Raw genomic sequence first — 16,010 nt, 5'->3', positions numbered from 1 at the left:
GCGGATCACAAGGTTAGGAGATCAAGACTATCCTGGCCAACATAGTGAAATCCCGTCTCTACTAAAAATACAAAAATTAGCCGGGCGTGGCAGTGCACACCTGTAGTCCCAGCTACTCGGGAGGCTAAGGCAGGAGAATTGCTTGAACCCGGGAGGCTGAGGCTGCAGTGAGCCAAGATCACATCACAGCACTCCAGCCTGGGCGACAGAGTGAGACTCTTCTCAAAATAATAATAGTAATAATAATAAATAAAAATAAAGAAAAGAAAAGAAAATGTTGGAACGCATTACATGTCATATGACATATTATTGTTGCCAAAAGTTGTCATTTCCGTTAAATCTCTGTTTATATGTTTATGTGTACATAGGGTTGCAATGTGAAATGTTTTTTCTACTATGGGGTATAATAAAAGAGTTTGAAAACACTGAAATAGATGATCTTTAGGGTCCATTCAGGCTGAAAATCCAAGACTTCCTGAAATGAGCACTCCTAGCCATACGCATCAGTAACTACCATCAAAGTGCTCAGAGCATGGTTGAGAAAGTAGGAGCGGAGGAGTCTGTGTAGCTCCAGTCTCATGGGGAGGCACCATTAACCTACTGAGAAGGACCCTTGAGAGAGAGAGTATGTACTCCATCCCCTTGGTGGCCAAGGCCAGGGAGAAAAGCACCTCAGGCTCCATTGCATCCTGATTGTGTCCGACGGATACTGCTGAGATCCCAGTGGCAGCCACCTCTCAGCCCTTCCCACACCTTTTTTCCCTCTCCCTTCGATTCTCTCCCTGCTACCCAAAAAAGCATGCAAGAGGGAGACATGATTAAGGTTATTGTTGCAGTGATCTCAGGCACAAGAAAAAAGCACCACTGCATTTTTCCTCTTGTTCTCATTGAAAACCCAGAATCTGAGACCATCTCTAAAAATGTCAGAGATCATTGAATGGCTGACAACCTGCAAAGCGTGCATTTGAAGATCATGTGACTTGTCTCTAAAAAAATCTTCCTTGCACAAAATGTTGACCTGGTTCCATTTATTCTGAAAGAGATTTGGTCTTGACAGGACAACTCTCATTATTGTTAGCAGGAACCATCTTCACAATCGAACTAAACGGCGAAAAAATTTGTGGGTGGCAAATCCCTCTCTTGTTTCATGATGGAGGACTGGGACTGGGAGGAAGGAAGAAGATGAGTGTACTCCCCTTCCCTAATTTTCTCCCTAAACGTCATAAAAATAGGTAGTTGGTGTTATCCCATCTTTCTCTGACTCACCCATAGGAAGGGGTGTCTTTTTGTAATTTACACAAAGGTGCCATATGGGCCAACAACAGTTCTGGGTATAAATTATTGATTGCAAAACTCTGTGATAGGTGTCAGAGGGAGATTTGTTGAAAGCATAAAGGGGAAAGCAACTGAATGCTGCCTGGTAACTCAAAAGAAAGTTCAAATTCCAGGCAGAAGGAGCAGAACACTGGAACATCTGGGGTTCTGTATCATGCAAAAGGCTTTTTCTCCACTGATTGGAGAGCCAATGTCATGGAGAGTTGCAATCAAAACCTGTCAGTGAGCAGAAATAAACCCGAGGATCAGCACCAACTTCAATAATGCAACTCATATTTAATAGGCAAAATTGAATCCAGAGCAGAGCTATCCCTACTATCGTTTGGCAAACTTGAACTGAATTGCGTTGAGAATGCATTCATCAGCTTTTGATTTAACAAGAGGTTCCTTGATCCTGAGTAAATCAAATACTTTACTGTGACATTCACGATAGATGAAGAAATAAAATTATTAAAGGCGAATCTTATTGGAAGATTAAATGAGTTTATAAGCCATTCTCTTCCCTTTCCCTCTTCTTTCATTATTTTAGCGAAACACACTTTCTGACTCGTTCAGATTTTTGAAAGTACCATATGATTTTGTAGTCTATATTTAAAAGGATACTGCTTAAAAAGGCATATGTGTTTCTGATATAGATTTTTGGTGAAAGTGACTTTTCTCCAAAAAGATAATCAAATTAAGAAGTAGATCATGTTGGTGGTGGCTGAGGAATATAAAGAAAGGAAAACATTGAGTTTGATGATATGACTCAATATTTTATATGCTTTAAATAAGAAGGTTTCACACAGGTGCCTAACAGATTGCTTCTTTACAAAATAAAAATCCCCACAATAAATGTCAGGCTACAACGGACATCTGAAAGCAAAAGTAGGTTTTATTTTTTTACTAGAGGGCAGCATTAGGATGTCATTGACTGTGTTAACACCCCTTGGGTAATTCCATAACCCTTTACAGAACAATTATTGGTTACATGACAAAGGCTTAGGCAAGTTATTTGATGCATGTCTGGTCTTCACTCCCTTTGTTTACATCTTCCACTCTAAGCACATTTATCCATTCAACAACTATTTATAGAATGCCTACAATGTGTATGTGCTGCTGTCTGGGGACAACAGGGGTGAAAGACAAAGTTCCTGCCCTCAGGGAGCTTACAGTCTTGGGGAGAAAAAAGCATTCGGTAAGCATATACTATGTTAGATGGGAAGAAGGCAGGGGAGGGGGCTGGGGAGCTCTGAGCACTGGGGTCGGTGTGTCATTCCATATAGTTCCAGGCACTGTTCCCAAAATGGTGGCTATATCATTATTTTACTGCTAAAGATGAAGAAAAAGCTTTGTTGCTAATGAAGAGAAACAAGAGGGTGGGCAGAGAAGCTATAAAGGCCAAGAAAATGGCACTTGTCTGCACGCTTTAGCCCAATGGAGATTGGAGCAGGAAAGAAGGCACCAAGTAGGAAATAGAGTGAACTGAAAACCAGGGATAAGCATACTAAGAGCTTGGAAACCGGCCTTTCCTTTCAGAGAACGGCGCTATGTCTTCCTTAAAGAGTTCATAGGGTTTTGATGTCTCCTGGCAAGAGGGGCTGAAGGAGACACAGGCTCTGCCTCATGTTAGGGCAGGAGGAACGAAAAGGAGGAAAGGCAGTGAGATCAAGAGTAAGCAACTGGGGTGCTAGGCAGAGGTCTCATGTTTAGTAGGATTGCCAGCAGCCAGAGGGAGGGCCCTGCAGACATTCCAGCTTTGAGAGTCGATCTTCCAAATCTCTCTTCCCTTGTAAAGAAAAATCTGAGATTAGAACAGAACCTGGAATAAAGATGAACAATTCTCAGGAATGTACTGTTATTTCCACAGGACCTCAAATTGAGATTTTTAGAGAGATTAAGGATGCTGGTACATGTGGTTGTGTGGTTTGCTAGAGGGGGCTGGTATTGGTAGACTTATCTTCAAAAGGTGCTGTCAAGGGGGCTTGTAATTTTTTTTTTTTTTTTTTTTTGAGAGTCTCGCTCTGTCACCTAGGCTGGAGTGTAGTAGCATGATCTTGGCTCACTGCAGCCTCCACCTCTGAGGTTCACGTGATTCTCCTGCCTCAGCCTCCTGAATAGCTGGGATTACAAGCACACGCTATCACTCCTGGCTAACTTTTTGTATTTTTAGTACAGACAGGGTTTCACCATGTTGGCCAGGCTAGTCTTGAACTCCCGACATCAAGTGATCCGCCTGCCTCAGCCTCCCAAAGTGCTGGGATTACAGGCATGAACCACCATGCCTGGCCCATTTGTACATTTTTAACAGAGTATTAGTAAACTACACTATAGATTCCATCTATAAGATCAGCATCTAGAGGGTAAAATGAATATTGATTATTAAGTTTAAAGGTTAGAAGCTATAGTTTTTCTGAATATGATGTTAGAAAAATTAAACAGCTTGGAATTTGTAACAGAATTCCCCAGTTATTTGTAAATTAAGATACAAGTAATGCCAGTTGATGAATATTTTTTTCATGTAGGTGGAAAGTTTTGCACTTAATTTATTCTTACCTTCAGACTTCGAAGCAAGCACCTTTTGTGTGCAAACTGAAAGCCATATGATTTACATCTCTAACCCAGCTCCTTTACTTCCTCTAGCTTGGAAACAATGATCTCTTTTGAATATTTAGTTTAAAGCACTCTATTTGGAAAAGAATCTTTAGGAAAATATTTTCCCATTAGTAGGTCCGTTTCAGGAGAGTCCACAAACAAATAGGTCTAAGCTGCTTTCAGGAACAGTCTTTTACAATCTCCCGTTCAGTTAAACTAAACAAACACACTGACTAAAGACAAGCTCACTGGGCAGGATTTTGAGTTAGGCTTCAATCTACTGTAGATTCTCAGTCTCCTTGAGCTGTGATTCTTACACGTGTAGACTCCTCTCTGGAAGTTTGAGGGTGGCTGGTCAACGTGCTACATTCTTGACTTAGGCTGTCTGGGGCAGTAGTTCCCTTCTTTTGGCTAAGCTGCACAGATGATGGCCTCCCTTGGGGGTTCAGCTTTGACTCTTAACTCTCCGTGGAACCAGCTATGAGCTCAGTGAGAGGGTTTATGTGGGCCTGGGGAGATGTGGACAGGTCTCTTGCCTTAGGAGTGACATTAACATCAGATTGTCTTCTTCCTTTGATGGATGGCATCATCTCTAACATGACACCTACCCAAATTTTTAAAATTTCCTGACTTCTTGGTAGAAGAAGGCTAAAGAATAACCCTTTCTCTCCCACTAAGAAATAATCCTTTATGAAACACTATTCTACTGTCAACTATTGGATAAAGTTTATCCAATTTTCTTGTTTCTCTTTCTCTTCCTTCATATTTGATCTACTATGCTGGGCTTTACCTCAAGTTTATAAACCTTATTTGAATATCATGGATATCTCCTGGCTTAAAGCTTCATCACATAGTCGGTTTTTCCATCATGACTAGCCCCATCCTAGGTCATCTCCTTATCATAACTCAGGTGGGGCTCGGGACCCACCATGAATAACCAAGGCACTCCTATCTCTCAGAAAATTCTAAGGCTTTAGAAGATCCCAGGAGCCCAGGCAAAGACCAAATTCTTTATTACAGAATAGGAGGCTGGGTGCCATGGCTCACACCTGTAATCCCAGTACTTTGGGAGGGTGAGGCGGGCAGATCACTTGAGGTCAGGGGTTCGAGACCAGCCTGACCAACGTGGCAAAACCCTGTCTCTACTAAAAATATAATAATTAACTTGGCGTGGTGGAATGTGCCTGTAATCCCAGCTACTAGGGAGGTTGAGGCAGGAGAATCACTTGAACCTGGGAGGCAGAGGTTGCAGTGAGCTGAGACTGTACCACTGCACTCCAGCCTGGGTGACAGAGCAAGACCCTGTCTTAAAAAACAAAAACAAAAACAGAATAGGAGCCACATCTCCATATCTGATTCATCTTTTAATTATCTCCAGGGCTTAGTACGATGCTTTGTACATAATAGGCACTCACATTTATTAAAACAATGGGCAAAGGTGAGCTAGAGGAAAATAATGCTAGCAATTTATGTAGGATGGATCATAGAGACCAGTTAAGACTACTGTAATAGACTGATGTTATTTCATGGACTCTCTCAATATTTCATTGATGGTGAGACTGAGGAATTATAAACTTTTAAAAAGTTAAATTGTTCTATTGCTCCCCTTCTTCCCAACTATAAAGTCCTGCAGTAATTTTCCATATGTTAAGTTTATCCAAGAAAACCTTCTACTGGGAAGTTAAAGCGAGTCTCAACTGCAAAGAACTTTGGTCTTCTCATTTATTTAATTAATTAGAATGAATAGCATGTAATAATGTTGCAAAGAGAGGCCTCCTACTCAGTGTTGCCATTCCTAATATCCTATCTGGAGCTTTGAGAATACTTGTCATGAAGATCCATTCACAACATTTACACCCCATGATATTGAGGATTTGCTTCAAAATAATCCTGGGGAGCATGGGGGAAGTACAAATGAAACACAAATGGTCCTGAGTTAATAATTATTGAAACTGGTGGTGGGTGACAGATTTCTTTATACTTTTCCTGTAATTTTTATATCTATTTTTGTGGGATATATTTATACTGCATTCTTTATCCTTCGGTATATTTTTGGCAATTTTTCATGACAAAAAGTTTTTTTTTTTTTTTAATCTATGTCTCCAAAGCTGAAGACCTCACACAAAGTGTACAGGACTGGGGGCCATTCCACCTTAGGTAGCAGGTCTTAAAAAATGGTACTCCAGGCCAGGTGCGGTGGCTCACATCTGTAATCCCAGTACTTTGGGAGGCCGAAACGGGGAGATCACCTGAGGTCAGGAGTTCGAGACCAGCCTGGCCAACATGGTGAAACCCCGTCTCTACTAAAAATACAAAAAATTAGCCAGGCATGGTGGCAGGCACCTGTAATCCCAGCTACTCAGGAGGCCGAGGCAGGAGAATCGCTTAATCCTGGGAGGTGGGGGTTGCAGTGAGCCGAGATCGTGCCACTGCACTCCAGCCTGGGGGACGAGAGTGGAACTCTTTCTCAAAAAAAAAAAAAAAAAAAAAAAAGCCAAAAAAAAAAAAAAACCAAAAAAGGTACTCAACCCAACTGATGTGTGTCTGTAGCATCCAACATCCAAAGGTGGATGTAAGCGGCAATGTTTGGGTGCCAAATATTACTGCTGCCCTAAGACCACCTTCATCCCTCCTCCATGTGCTAAGCATCCGCTTCATTTGGTGAACCCTATGTAAGCCAGTCCTTTCAGTGGAAACAATGATATTTAAAGTACCTGTGAGTTCTGATAATTACTTCCAAATGCTGCGTTTAGAGTCAAGGAAGTAGAAAACTACATCAAACAAAACTGGCTTATTCTTTGGGAGACTATGGAATCAAAGATGGAATCAAAGTCAAAAATAACACTAATGCCAGATTGTTGCAGGACTGTGAGACCAAGCCACTCTAGATGATGTCTTGGCCAGATGGACAAACCTTATAAAACAACAGAAGACAAGTCAGGAGCACACAGAATGTGATTTTTCAGCATTAAAATCAAAACTGTAATCAATCAGAGTAGAGACAATTTCACATGGGCTAAGTGGGATATTTATGAACTGTATAGCTCAGCCCTAGCTGCAGAAGCTGCCCAAATGGCTAGCTGCAGGCAAGATGAAGGAAGGGCTCCGGAGGCACACAGAGGGCACGCTCCAAGAGACTTTTGGAGGTACTGCTCCTGCTGGTATACCCCCCAACTCTGGGAGTGCAGTGTAGTTCTCAGAGAAAATGAGGCTCATTTGGAGCATAAACTGAAAACATTTTTTGCACAAGCCCAGATGTGGGTGGCTGTTATGAAGTCTGTTTAACTAGAGGGATTACAAATAGCAAATTGCCAATAAAGAGTTGGCTTTTATGAGTTTGAAGGGAAACTTAGTGATTAGCCTCAACTCCAAGAAGTAAAGCATCTTAGATTAGAATACAGAAGCCCCTAAACAGAATTCTTAAAAAAAAATTTAAATCTAATATTTGGTACATATAAAATATATATATCTCTCACATATGCAAATCACAAAACATAATATACTGAACACTTACTAGCCTAAGTGTTATGTCCAATTTAAGAACAGGAACATTGCCAATTGCATCCACCTTTGGGCTGCCTTCTCACCCTCCTTCCCTCCACGTCCTACCAGCAACCACTAACCCGAATTTTCTATTTATCATTTTCTTGCTTTTTATCACTTTATAAATTTCTTAAAATTATATTGTTTGGCTGTGTTTGAGCTTTATAAAAATGGCATCGTTATATCTTAGTCTCCTGGGACTTGCTTTTTTCCATCTTCTTTTTTTTTTGCTCAACATTATGTTTCCAAGCTTCATCCATAGCTTTGTGAGGAGCTGTAGTTCATTCATTTTCAGTGCTGTATAATAATCCGTTGTGTGAAAAGACCCCAAATGCCACTGATTTACATCATCTCCATCTATTGATGTTGTCAGGCTTGTGAATTTTTGCCAACCTAGTGGGTATAAAATGATATCTCACTGAAGTCTTAAATTACATTTCCTTGTTTCTAATGAGGCTTAACATCTTTACCTAAGCTTATTTGCCATTTGCTTTTCTTTTTCTGTGCAATGCTTGTTTATGCCTTTTCCACTCTTTTTTTTCTATAGCGCTGTCTTTTTTCTTACTGATTTTGTGGAGTTCTTTTTTTTTTTTTTAAGTGAAAGCAAGTTTATTAAGAAAGTAAAGGAATAAAAAAATGGCTACTCCATAGGCAAAGCAGCTGGGATTCTTTATGTACTAAGCAGCATGGGTTTTTAAAATCCATTTATCAATCTGTTGATTTTTAACATGTTAGGTGCAGAGCATTTAGAACTGGAAGGACCATTTGAAATACATAGTTCATCTCTCTCATGTTACTGAGGAGGAAAACTGAAGTGCACGGAGGTAAAGTAACTCGCCCAGTATCACAATTTGTGTTTGTACCATTGCTGAGGTGAGCACCTGGGCCTTCTAACCCCAAATTAAATTATTCTCCTATGTGACAACCTCCTTTAATGGTTTTTTCTCATTTATATTTAAAATTTTTAAAGTACCCAAGTAATAATACACGTTCATGGTAGAAAAAGAAAAAAAATTAGCAAAATGAGGAAAATAAAAATCAGTTTTAATCCCACCTTCAGATGCAACTATTCTCTGTTTTGTATTTCCTTTCTAGATAATAACTATAACGGATCATTATTATGAAATGCTTACTCTGTGCTAGTTATTATGGAGTGCTTCTTACAAAATGCTAGGCATTTTGTAAACACTCTTCATGTGTGGATGCTTTAATCTTCTGCACAACCCTATGATGTAGATTATCACCATCAGTGATAGGCAGTGTGGCAGGCAGAATGACAGCCTCCCTGAAATGTCCACATACTAATCCCAGGAACCTGTGAATGCGTTATGTTACATGGCAAAGGAGAATTAAGATAGCAGACAAAATTAAGGTTGGTAATTGGCTGATCCTGAAATAGCAAGAATATCCTAGATTACCCAGGTAGGCCCAACGCAATCAGAAAGGAAGAGGGAGACACAAGAGGCGGCATGAGAGTGATGCGATGTGAGAATGATTCAACCAGCCTTTGCTGGCTTTGAAGGTGGAGGAGGAGGCCAGAGCCAAGGAATGCGGGAAACCTTTAGAAACTGAAAAACCAAAAAATGGATTTCTCCTTTTGGTACTCCAGAAAGGAATGCACCCCTGCTGACACCTTGACTTTAGCCCAACATGGTAGACAGAACAATGGCCCCAAAATATCCACATTCCAATCCCTGGAATGTGTGACTGTGTTACCTTACATGTCAAAAGGAAGTTTACAGATGTGATTAAGACTTTTGAGAAGGGGAGATTATCTTGGATTATCTAGGTGGGCCCAATGTAATCATAAGGATCTTTAAAAGAAGCAGGCAGGAGGATGAGAGTCAGAGAGAAGATGTGATGACAAAAGCAGGGAATGGAGTGCTGTGCTTTTAAGACAGAGGAAGGGGCCAAAAGCCAAGGAACACAAGAGGCCTCTAAAAGAGGTAAGGAAACAGAATCTTCCCTTGAGTCTCTGGAAGAGTATGGCCCTGTTGACACCTTGATTTTGGCCCAGCAAAACCTATTTTGGACTGACCACCAGAACCGTAAGATAATAAATGCATGTTATTTTAAGCCACTAAGTTTGTGGGAATTTCTTACAGCAGCAATAGGAAACTGGTACACCTAGTTTACAACTTGCTAGGGCCACAGAGTTGGCCAGTGGCAGAGACAGGATGTGGTTTCAAGCCATCTGGCTTCAGAGCCCATATCTGTTACCATTATGACATAAACATACATGGACACATAGAGATTTAAATAGTACATACATCTCAATGAATGCAAACCTTCCATAATATTTTGATAGTCATTCAGCACCACCATATTAAATAGTTGTAGTCCACTCAATAAATATACCACTCCCCATATTTTATATAATAAATCCCTTATTATTCAATACATACGTTGTTTCTAATGTTTCAATATTGTACTACTGGCAATGATAAACATCTTTCTAGTGCTATTAATTATTTCATTAGGAAAAACTCTTAAAATTAGAAACGCCAGGTCAAGTTACCCCTAAGAAAGACTGCATTGGAATATAACGGAAAATAAAACATGCAACTGGAAGTCGGAGCATCTCTGCCTTCTTTTTCTGTAACACCTTTGGTATTAAGCTATTTTTCTTATCCATGGTACACACTCAATCGTATTTTTGTTTTTGAAGGTTTTAGCTATAACACTATTTCTTCTGTAGACTCATAGGTGTTAGAGCAAGAAGGTATTTAGAGGTGATTTAGTCTAATCCTTTAAATCACAGGTAAATTCCCTGAGGCCCAGAGTGGTGAACTGACTCACTAAAAGCTCTCCTTACAGGGGTGCTTGGTGAGAACGCACCTTCCTGACTCCAAGGCCAGCTATCTTTCCACATCTGCTGCAAATGTCATGAGGCTAGCCCCCAAGTTGGGACCATTATTAATTTTTCCCCTCAAGTCATGCGAAACATCTCTTGTCCTTTTAATCAGAAGCATATTTTAGGGGCTGCGGAATAATAAGCACCCACATATCCAGTATTAAAAGATAAACTCTGGCCCTTTCCTGGAGTGAGCCTGTTTTCATTTTATCATTGTGAAATGTGGTAGGATTGATGGCAGACAATAACTCCCCACCTCCCCCAGTATTTTATTAAGATCCGTTCTTACAAAGGATAACCGGAGGTTTTCCATCATCACCTCGTTGTCTTTTTTCTAACTTGGTTCGTCTGCTACCCAACAGTAGTAAGGTTACCTCATCCTGGAATCTGATGTACACAACGGTATGCAAACTCTTTCCTTCTCTCCGAAGCAAACAATGAAATGGGAAAACACTGCCATTTTCTGACTGACCTCAATCGCTGAGGGTGGACCCCGCACGTTACATCAGCAGGCTGGCTCCATTACACTGCCCTGCGCTGTGCTCGAGCTACTGAAATATTGATTTTTACAGAGCCGGCGCACACACACTGAAAAATCAATATTCCAGTGCACACAACAGAACAGGCAGCAGAGCGGGGACAAACTCCGAGCCCCAGCAAGCACTGCCGCCGGGCCTTGACCGAGGAGGGGGTGGGGGGCTGGAGGAGACAATGCCTGGGGAGAGGCCCCTGCAAACCCGCGAATGGTCAGATAAACAAACAAGTGTGGAGAGGGAAGAGAAAGGAGAGTGGAGAGAAAGATCCTTGAGGATAAAACAGTTGGAAGGAGCAATGATTTATCTTTCCATAGGGGGAAATGGGGAGAAGGAAAGTAAATTAAGAAGAGTGGATGGGAAGAATTTTCCAGGTAAGAATCTTCCCATAAAAATGTATGTTTTTCTGTATCACCAGGTCAGACTTCAGATGCAACCATTATAAAGATGATACACATACTTTGTTACCTGAGGGAAAAAATAACTAGGCCAGTTCTCAGAAATATTTATATTTTTTAAAATGCAGTCCCCTTCTTTTTCCTTGGTGACTACAGGCCGGCATCAGAGAGTCCGATTTATAACATGGGCTCTACCTTTGCAATGCAGTTACTTTCTTTTCCTTGGGGAGAGGGAAGGAAGGAAGACATCCTGGTCACGTGGCCATTCATCAATTTCCCTTTCTTTCTAGAACAGCATCTTCTTTGGCGTGCTTGGGGAACCACGTTAAAATTGATTCTACGTGCCCGTGACCTCTTCTCAGGGAATTCTGAGCTCCCCCGAGTCACACCCCCATCTAGATGAGGAGAGGAGGACGTGTCCCCTGGTTCAGTCTCGGGTGCCCAGTACCCAGCAGACGTCAGGGTGGAGGCAAACCGGCCTTTCGGTTAGTCCTTGTAGACGTGTTAAAAAAAAAAATCCAGAACTGGCATTTTTACTACTTTTAGTTAGCTCTTTGGCCTCTTTTTATTTGGGGATGGGTGGTGGGCAGTTTATTAAAAGAAACGACTTTTAACCTTGATGAATTCTTGATTTTGCTTTGTCCTAGAATTCCCTTACCGGGAATCTCGCATTTAGTTCTCAACTCCCTGCCAGGGGAGGAAACTGTCCTCCCGAGGTTTCCATTTCGCACTCTGCCCTGCAGCAGCTTCGCCGCCGCCTCCTCCCCAGCCAGGAGACACCGGGCCCAGGCAGGGCTCCGGCTGGGTTTGGAGGAGGGGGCTCCGGGGAAAGCGGGCATTCAGGGGCATCTTGCAAAACGCGGGCTCCCTGGGCCCAGCGGGGCTGGCCGGGGACAGCGCCCGGCCCGAGTGTCGCGGGAAGCGGAACAGGCAGCCTGGCAGAGGCTGGTGGGCAGAAGGGCGGGGCGGGACGTCGAGCCAGGTGGCCACCTGGAGCGCCCCGCCCTCCCAGCGCCGGCCGCGCCCCCGCCCCCGCCCCCACGCGCCACCGCCCACCCCGCCCCCGCCCCCAGCCCCGCGCGGCCGCTCTATTTGCATAAGGAGGCGTCTCCCGGGCCCGCCCGGGGCGCACGTGACCCCGGGGGAGGCGGAGGGAACCTGCTGACTTGACACGAGCCGCTGTGCGGCTCCCCTTGGCGCGGAATAGCGAGAGCAGCCGTGACCTCCGACCCCGCCCGCCGGCAGCCAATAAGAGCGCAGGTCGTCTCCAAACCCAAAATTTCCACGTCGGCAAAAGTCAAGATGGAAGGGAGCGGAGCGGAGCGCGAGGGGGGAGCCGGCCCGGGAATGCCTGGCGGCCGGCGCTGGAGGGGCAGGCTGGGGAGCCTGCGGCGGGCGCACGAGGGGCCACTCGCGAAGGTGTCCCGGCCCAGCGCGACCACCGCCCCCAACCCCGGGAGCCTCTGGGCGCCCCGCACTCCGCCAGCCGCCCGTGCACCCCGGCCCGGGGGACGCAGCCCACTGCCCCTCCGGCCTTGTCTCTTAGGGGTGGCGGGGGATGGAACGGTGGCGAGGGGTTTGGGGGAAGATGGGAAAGCACTTTCCAGACCTGTTGCACGCGCGCAACAGCTGTTCAGGTGCGGTATGTGGGGGGAGGGGGTCTGCTAGGATGGGGGACAGAGTGGTCGCTTATGCTGCAGGGAAAAGGGGGTGCCGGGAGGGGGAGAAGAGCAGTCTTGGGGACTGTGTGCAAGGTTGTGCGCGAACGGGGTCCGCGGGAAGCACTGCCTAATGGGGCAGGGAGAATCCCAAAGAGTGGGTGGGTGGAACGGAGGGGATGGGACGACTTCGACCCGAGTTCCCGGGGCTGGGCGCGGGCGGCTGGAAGACCGGGAATAGAGTACTGGGAATGGCTGGGGAAGGGGGTCTCAGGGGAGGCCCCGCAAAGCGGGTCTTTCTTGGGTCGTCCCATCTTAGGGGCTTTTCCCGGGCCTGTATTTGTTCCCCACCGTTTAACTCTTTCAGCTCCGAATATTCGTCCTCGTGCAGCGCCCCCGCCCCCAGCTTTCCAGATGGGAAGGTAAAAAGTTGCCACAAGTTAGAGTGAGTTAGCTGCTGGCAAAAGTTTAAATAACTACCGAGGGAGGTGAGGGTTCGACCAGGAATGGGTTCTAATCTGAGGACGGGTAGGAAGGAAGGAGAGTGTGCGATTCTTGCAGCCCCTTTGCTGTGACATTGCGACCAGAATTTGTCGAATCGGGCTGTTAAAACACCATTTCTGTTGGGCATTTGCTCCTGCTGACTGCGGCAGTAACTTTCCATAATTAATGACCCGTTCCATTATCGGTCGCATCCTGAACTAAATTGCTTTTAACGAGTTATTCTTCTTTGTCTTAGCTGGGGGGTGGGGGAACACACCTGCAGGAAGAAACTTCTGGAGGAAGACAGCACGTTTGGTCTTTTGAGGCAAAGTTCTGAGACACTCCGACTCTGAGTATGATAGAAGTCAGTGCACTACAGAACTTTGTCTCTAGAGGCTGTGGTCGCCGATGCCGCCAGTGCTCCAGACGCCAGGCCGAGTGGCCCTGGTGGCCACGTCGCTGCGCCTTTCCCTTGGGGGAGGGGCAAGGCCAGAGGGGGTCCAAGTGCAGCACGAGGAACTTGACCAATTCCCTTGAAGCGGGTGGGTTAAACCCTGTAAATGGGAACAAAATCCCCCCAAATCTCTTCATCTTACCCTGGTGGACTCCTGACTGTAGAATTTTTTGGTTTAAAGAAGAAAAAAATAAAGCTTTGGACTTTTCAAGGTTGCTTAACAGGTACTGAAAGACTGGCCTCACTTAAACTGAGCCAGGAGAGCTGCAGATTTATTAATGGGTGTGTTAGTGTGCAGTGCCTTGCAGGAATTTAAACTCTCTACCCTTAAAGAAGGAAATGTATTTGTACAAAAGCCACAGATAATGGTCCTTTTACTCAAGCGACCTGCTGGATAAATGACAGCCTGCAGGGATTGAGTTTGGAGATCTAGTCTCAATTCTGCTTCCGATTTAGATGCAGTTCACTTTTGTTTTTTAAAGTAAGTTTTATTAATGGAAAGGAAGAACTTTTTCCAAGAAAGCATTTTGAAAGCCACTGGGGGAGGGGGACATTTATGCTTTTGGGCTGTGGAGATCCTTTAGGTGGAGAGACTGCTCTCTCATCCCTAGTGGAATGGAGGTTTGGGTTGGTGAGTTTCTATCAATAGCCTGCTCTCTATAGTGGGTCAGTGACTGGCACCAAATTGTAGTCCTGTTCCATGGACATTGCCCTGTTTTGGTTTTATGAGCTTTTGGCCAGGCACAGGACGCAGGGTGGTAGGGAAAAAAGGAAATGGTTCCTGTGCCCGTGGTGCTGACAGGTAAGGGAAGGGCCTTCTGATGTATTTTATGGGATGCTTCAGAAACCTGGGGGTTGCTTGTGTCTCTGGGAAGCCCTTGGTAAAGAAAGCCACCATTTTTTTTACTTAGGTATATTCCAGTGGTTTATCATCGGGAGAGGGATGATAATGGAGGAAGGCTCAATGAGGGAGAAAGTATTCAGCTGCTTGATGTTAGAGCTTAATGGCAGGACCTACCAGTTGCTTTTCACAGAAATGCTGTGTATTGATCCTAAGGCAGCATGTGTTCTCTTTTGTGTGGCCATTATCCATTCTCCCACTTTTCCATCAGTGACTGCTTTGCTTTTGTTCCTCAATCCTTTACCCAAAAATGGCTGAATTATTTCTGTGCAGTTAAATAAAGTGATCCAAACTCAAGTACGTCTTGTGTTCATTTGAGATGTAAGGTATGCTTACTTGAGGAAGAGGATTCTCTTTCCTAGTTCTTATGTCTGTACATCTCCACAAGATAGTCTGAATATACTGAATTTTAAGAAAACTTAAATCAACTTTGTAAGAGAATGGGAGGTAAAGAGTGGAGCGGTTGACTGGGAGAGTAGTCATCCATACAAAGGAATTAGGTCAGGATCTCTCACCTCCAGAGAAAGGCAAGGTTTGGAGTCCCTGACATGATTCAGTCTGGTTTGACTTCTATGCTTAAGTGATTTGCATTTCTCCTGTTTGTGACCACAAGTGAGTTAAGGACTAACCAAGCAGGAGGGCTGTGGTTTACTCTGGTGCTAAGGATGCCAGGAATAGGAACTGGGAAAATCGGCAGTCTTGGGGTGCTTACTGTAAACCTGGCATGGTCTCATAGACCTCAGTCGTTTAGCAATCAGTGTATTTTCACCTCCCGAGCATCAGGTGTTACTCTAGACGTTACGAATGCAACAGTGAACAAAATAGGCCCCGAACCCTGCCCTCTTGGAGGTCTTTCTCATGCAAGAGGTAGACAATACAAATATAAAATAATCAGAAGGGTGATAAACGTCAGGGAAGGAAGAACAAGGAACGCTGGGGAGGCCGTGGTGTTCATTTAACCCAGATCGCTGGGCAAAGGAAACCATCACTAGCAACCTACTTTGCATGGCCTTGGCACTCCTGTCTTTATTTTAGATACTTTATGTGAATGAACCAAACAGGTGCAGCTGAAACTTTAGTCATGCATTGCTTAATGATGAGGATAGGTTCTGAGAAACGTGGTGTTAGGCGATTTCATTGTTTTTGCAAACATCACAGAGTGAGTGTTCTTAAACCTGGGTGGTAGAGACTACCACACACTTAAGCTGTATGCCATAGCCTAGTGCTCCTGGGCTACAAACCTGTGCAGGATGGTACTGTACTGAGTGCTGTAGGCA

General features: G+C 44.3%; 1 long non-coding RNA gene and 1 other non-coding gene across 8 annotated transcripts in view, besides 4 other annotated features; both read left to right on the top strand.

Annotated features, from left to right (window-relative positions):
* The window catches only part of LOC105375199 (uncharacterized), a 191,528-nt gene that overhangs the window by 167,103 nt on the left and 8,415 nt on the right, over window positions 1-16,010 (top strand). For 5 of the 7 annotated variants that reach the window (XR_927113.3, XR_927117.3, XR_927116.3 and 2 more), the window contains one exon: window positions 8,188-8,584. The exons of the other annotated variants lie outside the window; for them this stretch is intronic. This is a non-coding gene — a long non-coding RNA (uncharacterized LOC105375199). Of the gene's footprint in view, window positions 1-8,187; window positions 8,585-16,010 lie in introns of those variants that run through there. 7 annotated transcript variants of the gene reach the window in all.
* Window positions 11,928-12,137: a silencer, noted in NCBI's record as "silent region_18029". NCBI's record gives its function as "represses an Ori minimal core promoter by ATAC-STARR-seq in GM12878 lymphoblastoid cells {active_cell/tissue: GM12878}" and the evidence as "EXISTENCE:reporter gene assay evidence [ECO:0000049][PMID:35858748]".
* Window positions 12,258-12,477: a silencer, noted in NCBI's record as "silent region_18028". NCBI's record gives its function as "represses an Ori minimal core promoter by ATAC-STARR-seq in GM12878 lymphoblastoid cells {active_cell/tissue: GM12878}" and the evidence as "EXISTENCE:reporter gene assay evidence [ECO:0000049][PMID:35858748]".
* Window positions 12,608-12,747: a silencer, noted in NCBI's record as "silent region_18027". NCBI's record gives its function as "represses an Ori minimal core promoter by ATAC-STARR-seq in GM12878 lymphoblastoid cells {active_cell/tissue: GM12878}" and the evidence as "EXISTENCE:reporter gene assay evidence [ECO:0000049][PMID:35858748]".
* MIR148A (microRNA 148a) lies at window positions 13,701-13,768 on the top strand. Its single transcript, NR_029597.1, has one exon. It is a non-coding gene; the product is annotated as a microRNA 148a (primary transcript).
* Window positions 15,591-15,660: an enhancer, noted in NCBI's record as "active region_25773". NCBI's record gives its function as "activates an Ori minimal core promoter by ATAC-STARR-seq in GM12878 lymphoblastoid cells {active_cell/tissue: GM12878}" and the evidence as "EXISTENCE:reporter gene assay evidence [ECO:0000049][PMID:35858748]".

The sequence above is a fragment of the Homo sapiens genome, chromosome 7 (assembly GCF_000001405.40).
Source record: "Homo sapiens chromosome 7, GRCh38.p14 Primary Assembly".
In the NCBI taxonomy this organism is placed as follows: domain Eukaryota; kingdom Metazoa; phylum Chordata; class Mammalia; order Primates; family Hominidae; genus Homo; species Homo sapiens.
This window is presented reverse-complemented; position numbering and strand designations above follow the sequence as displayed.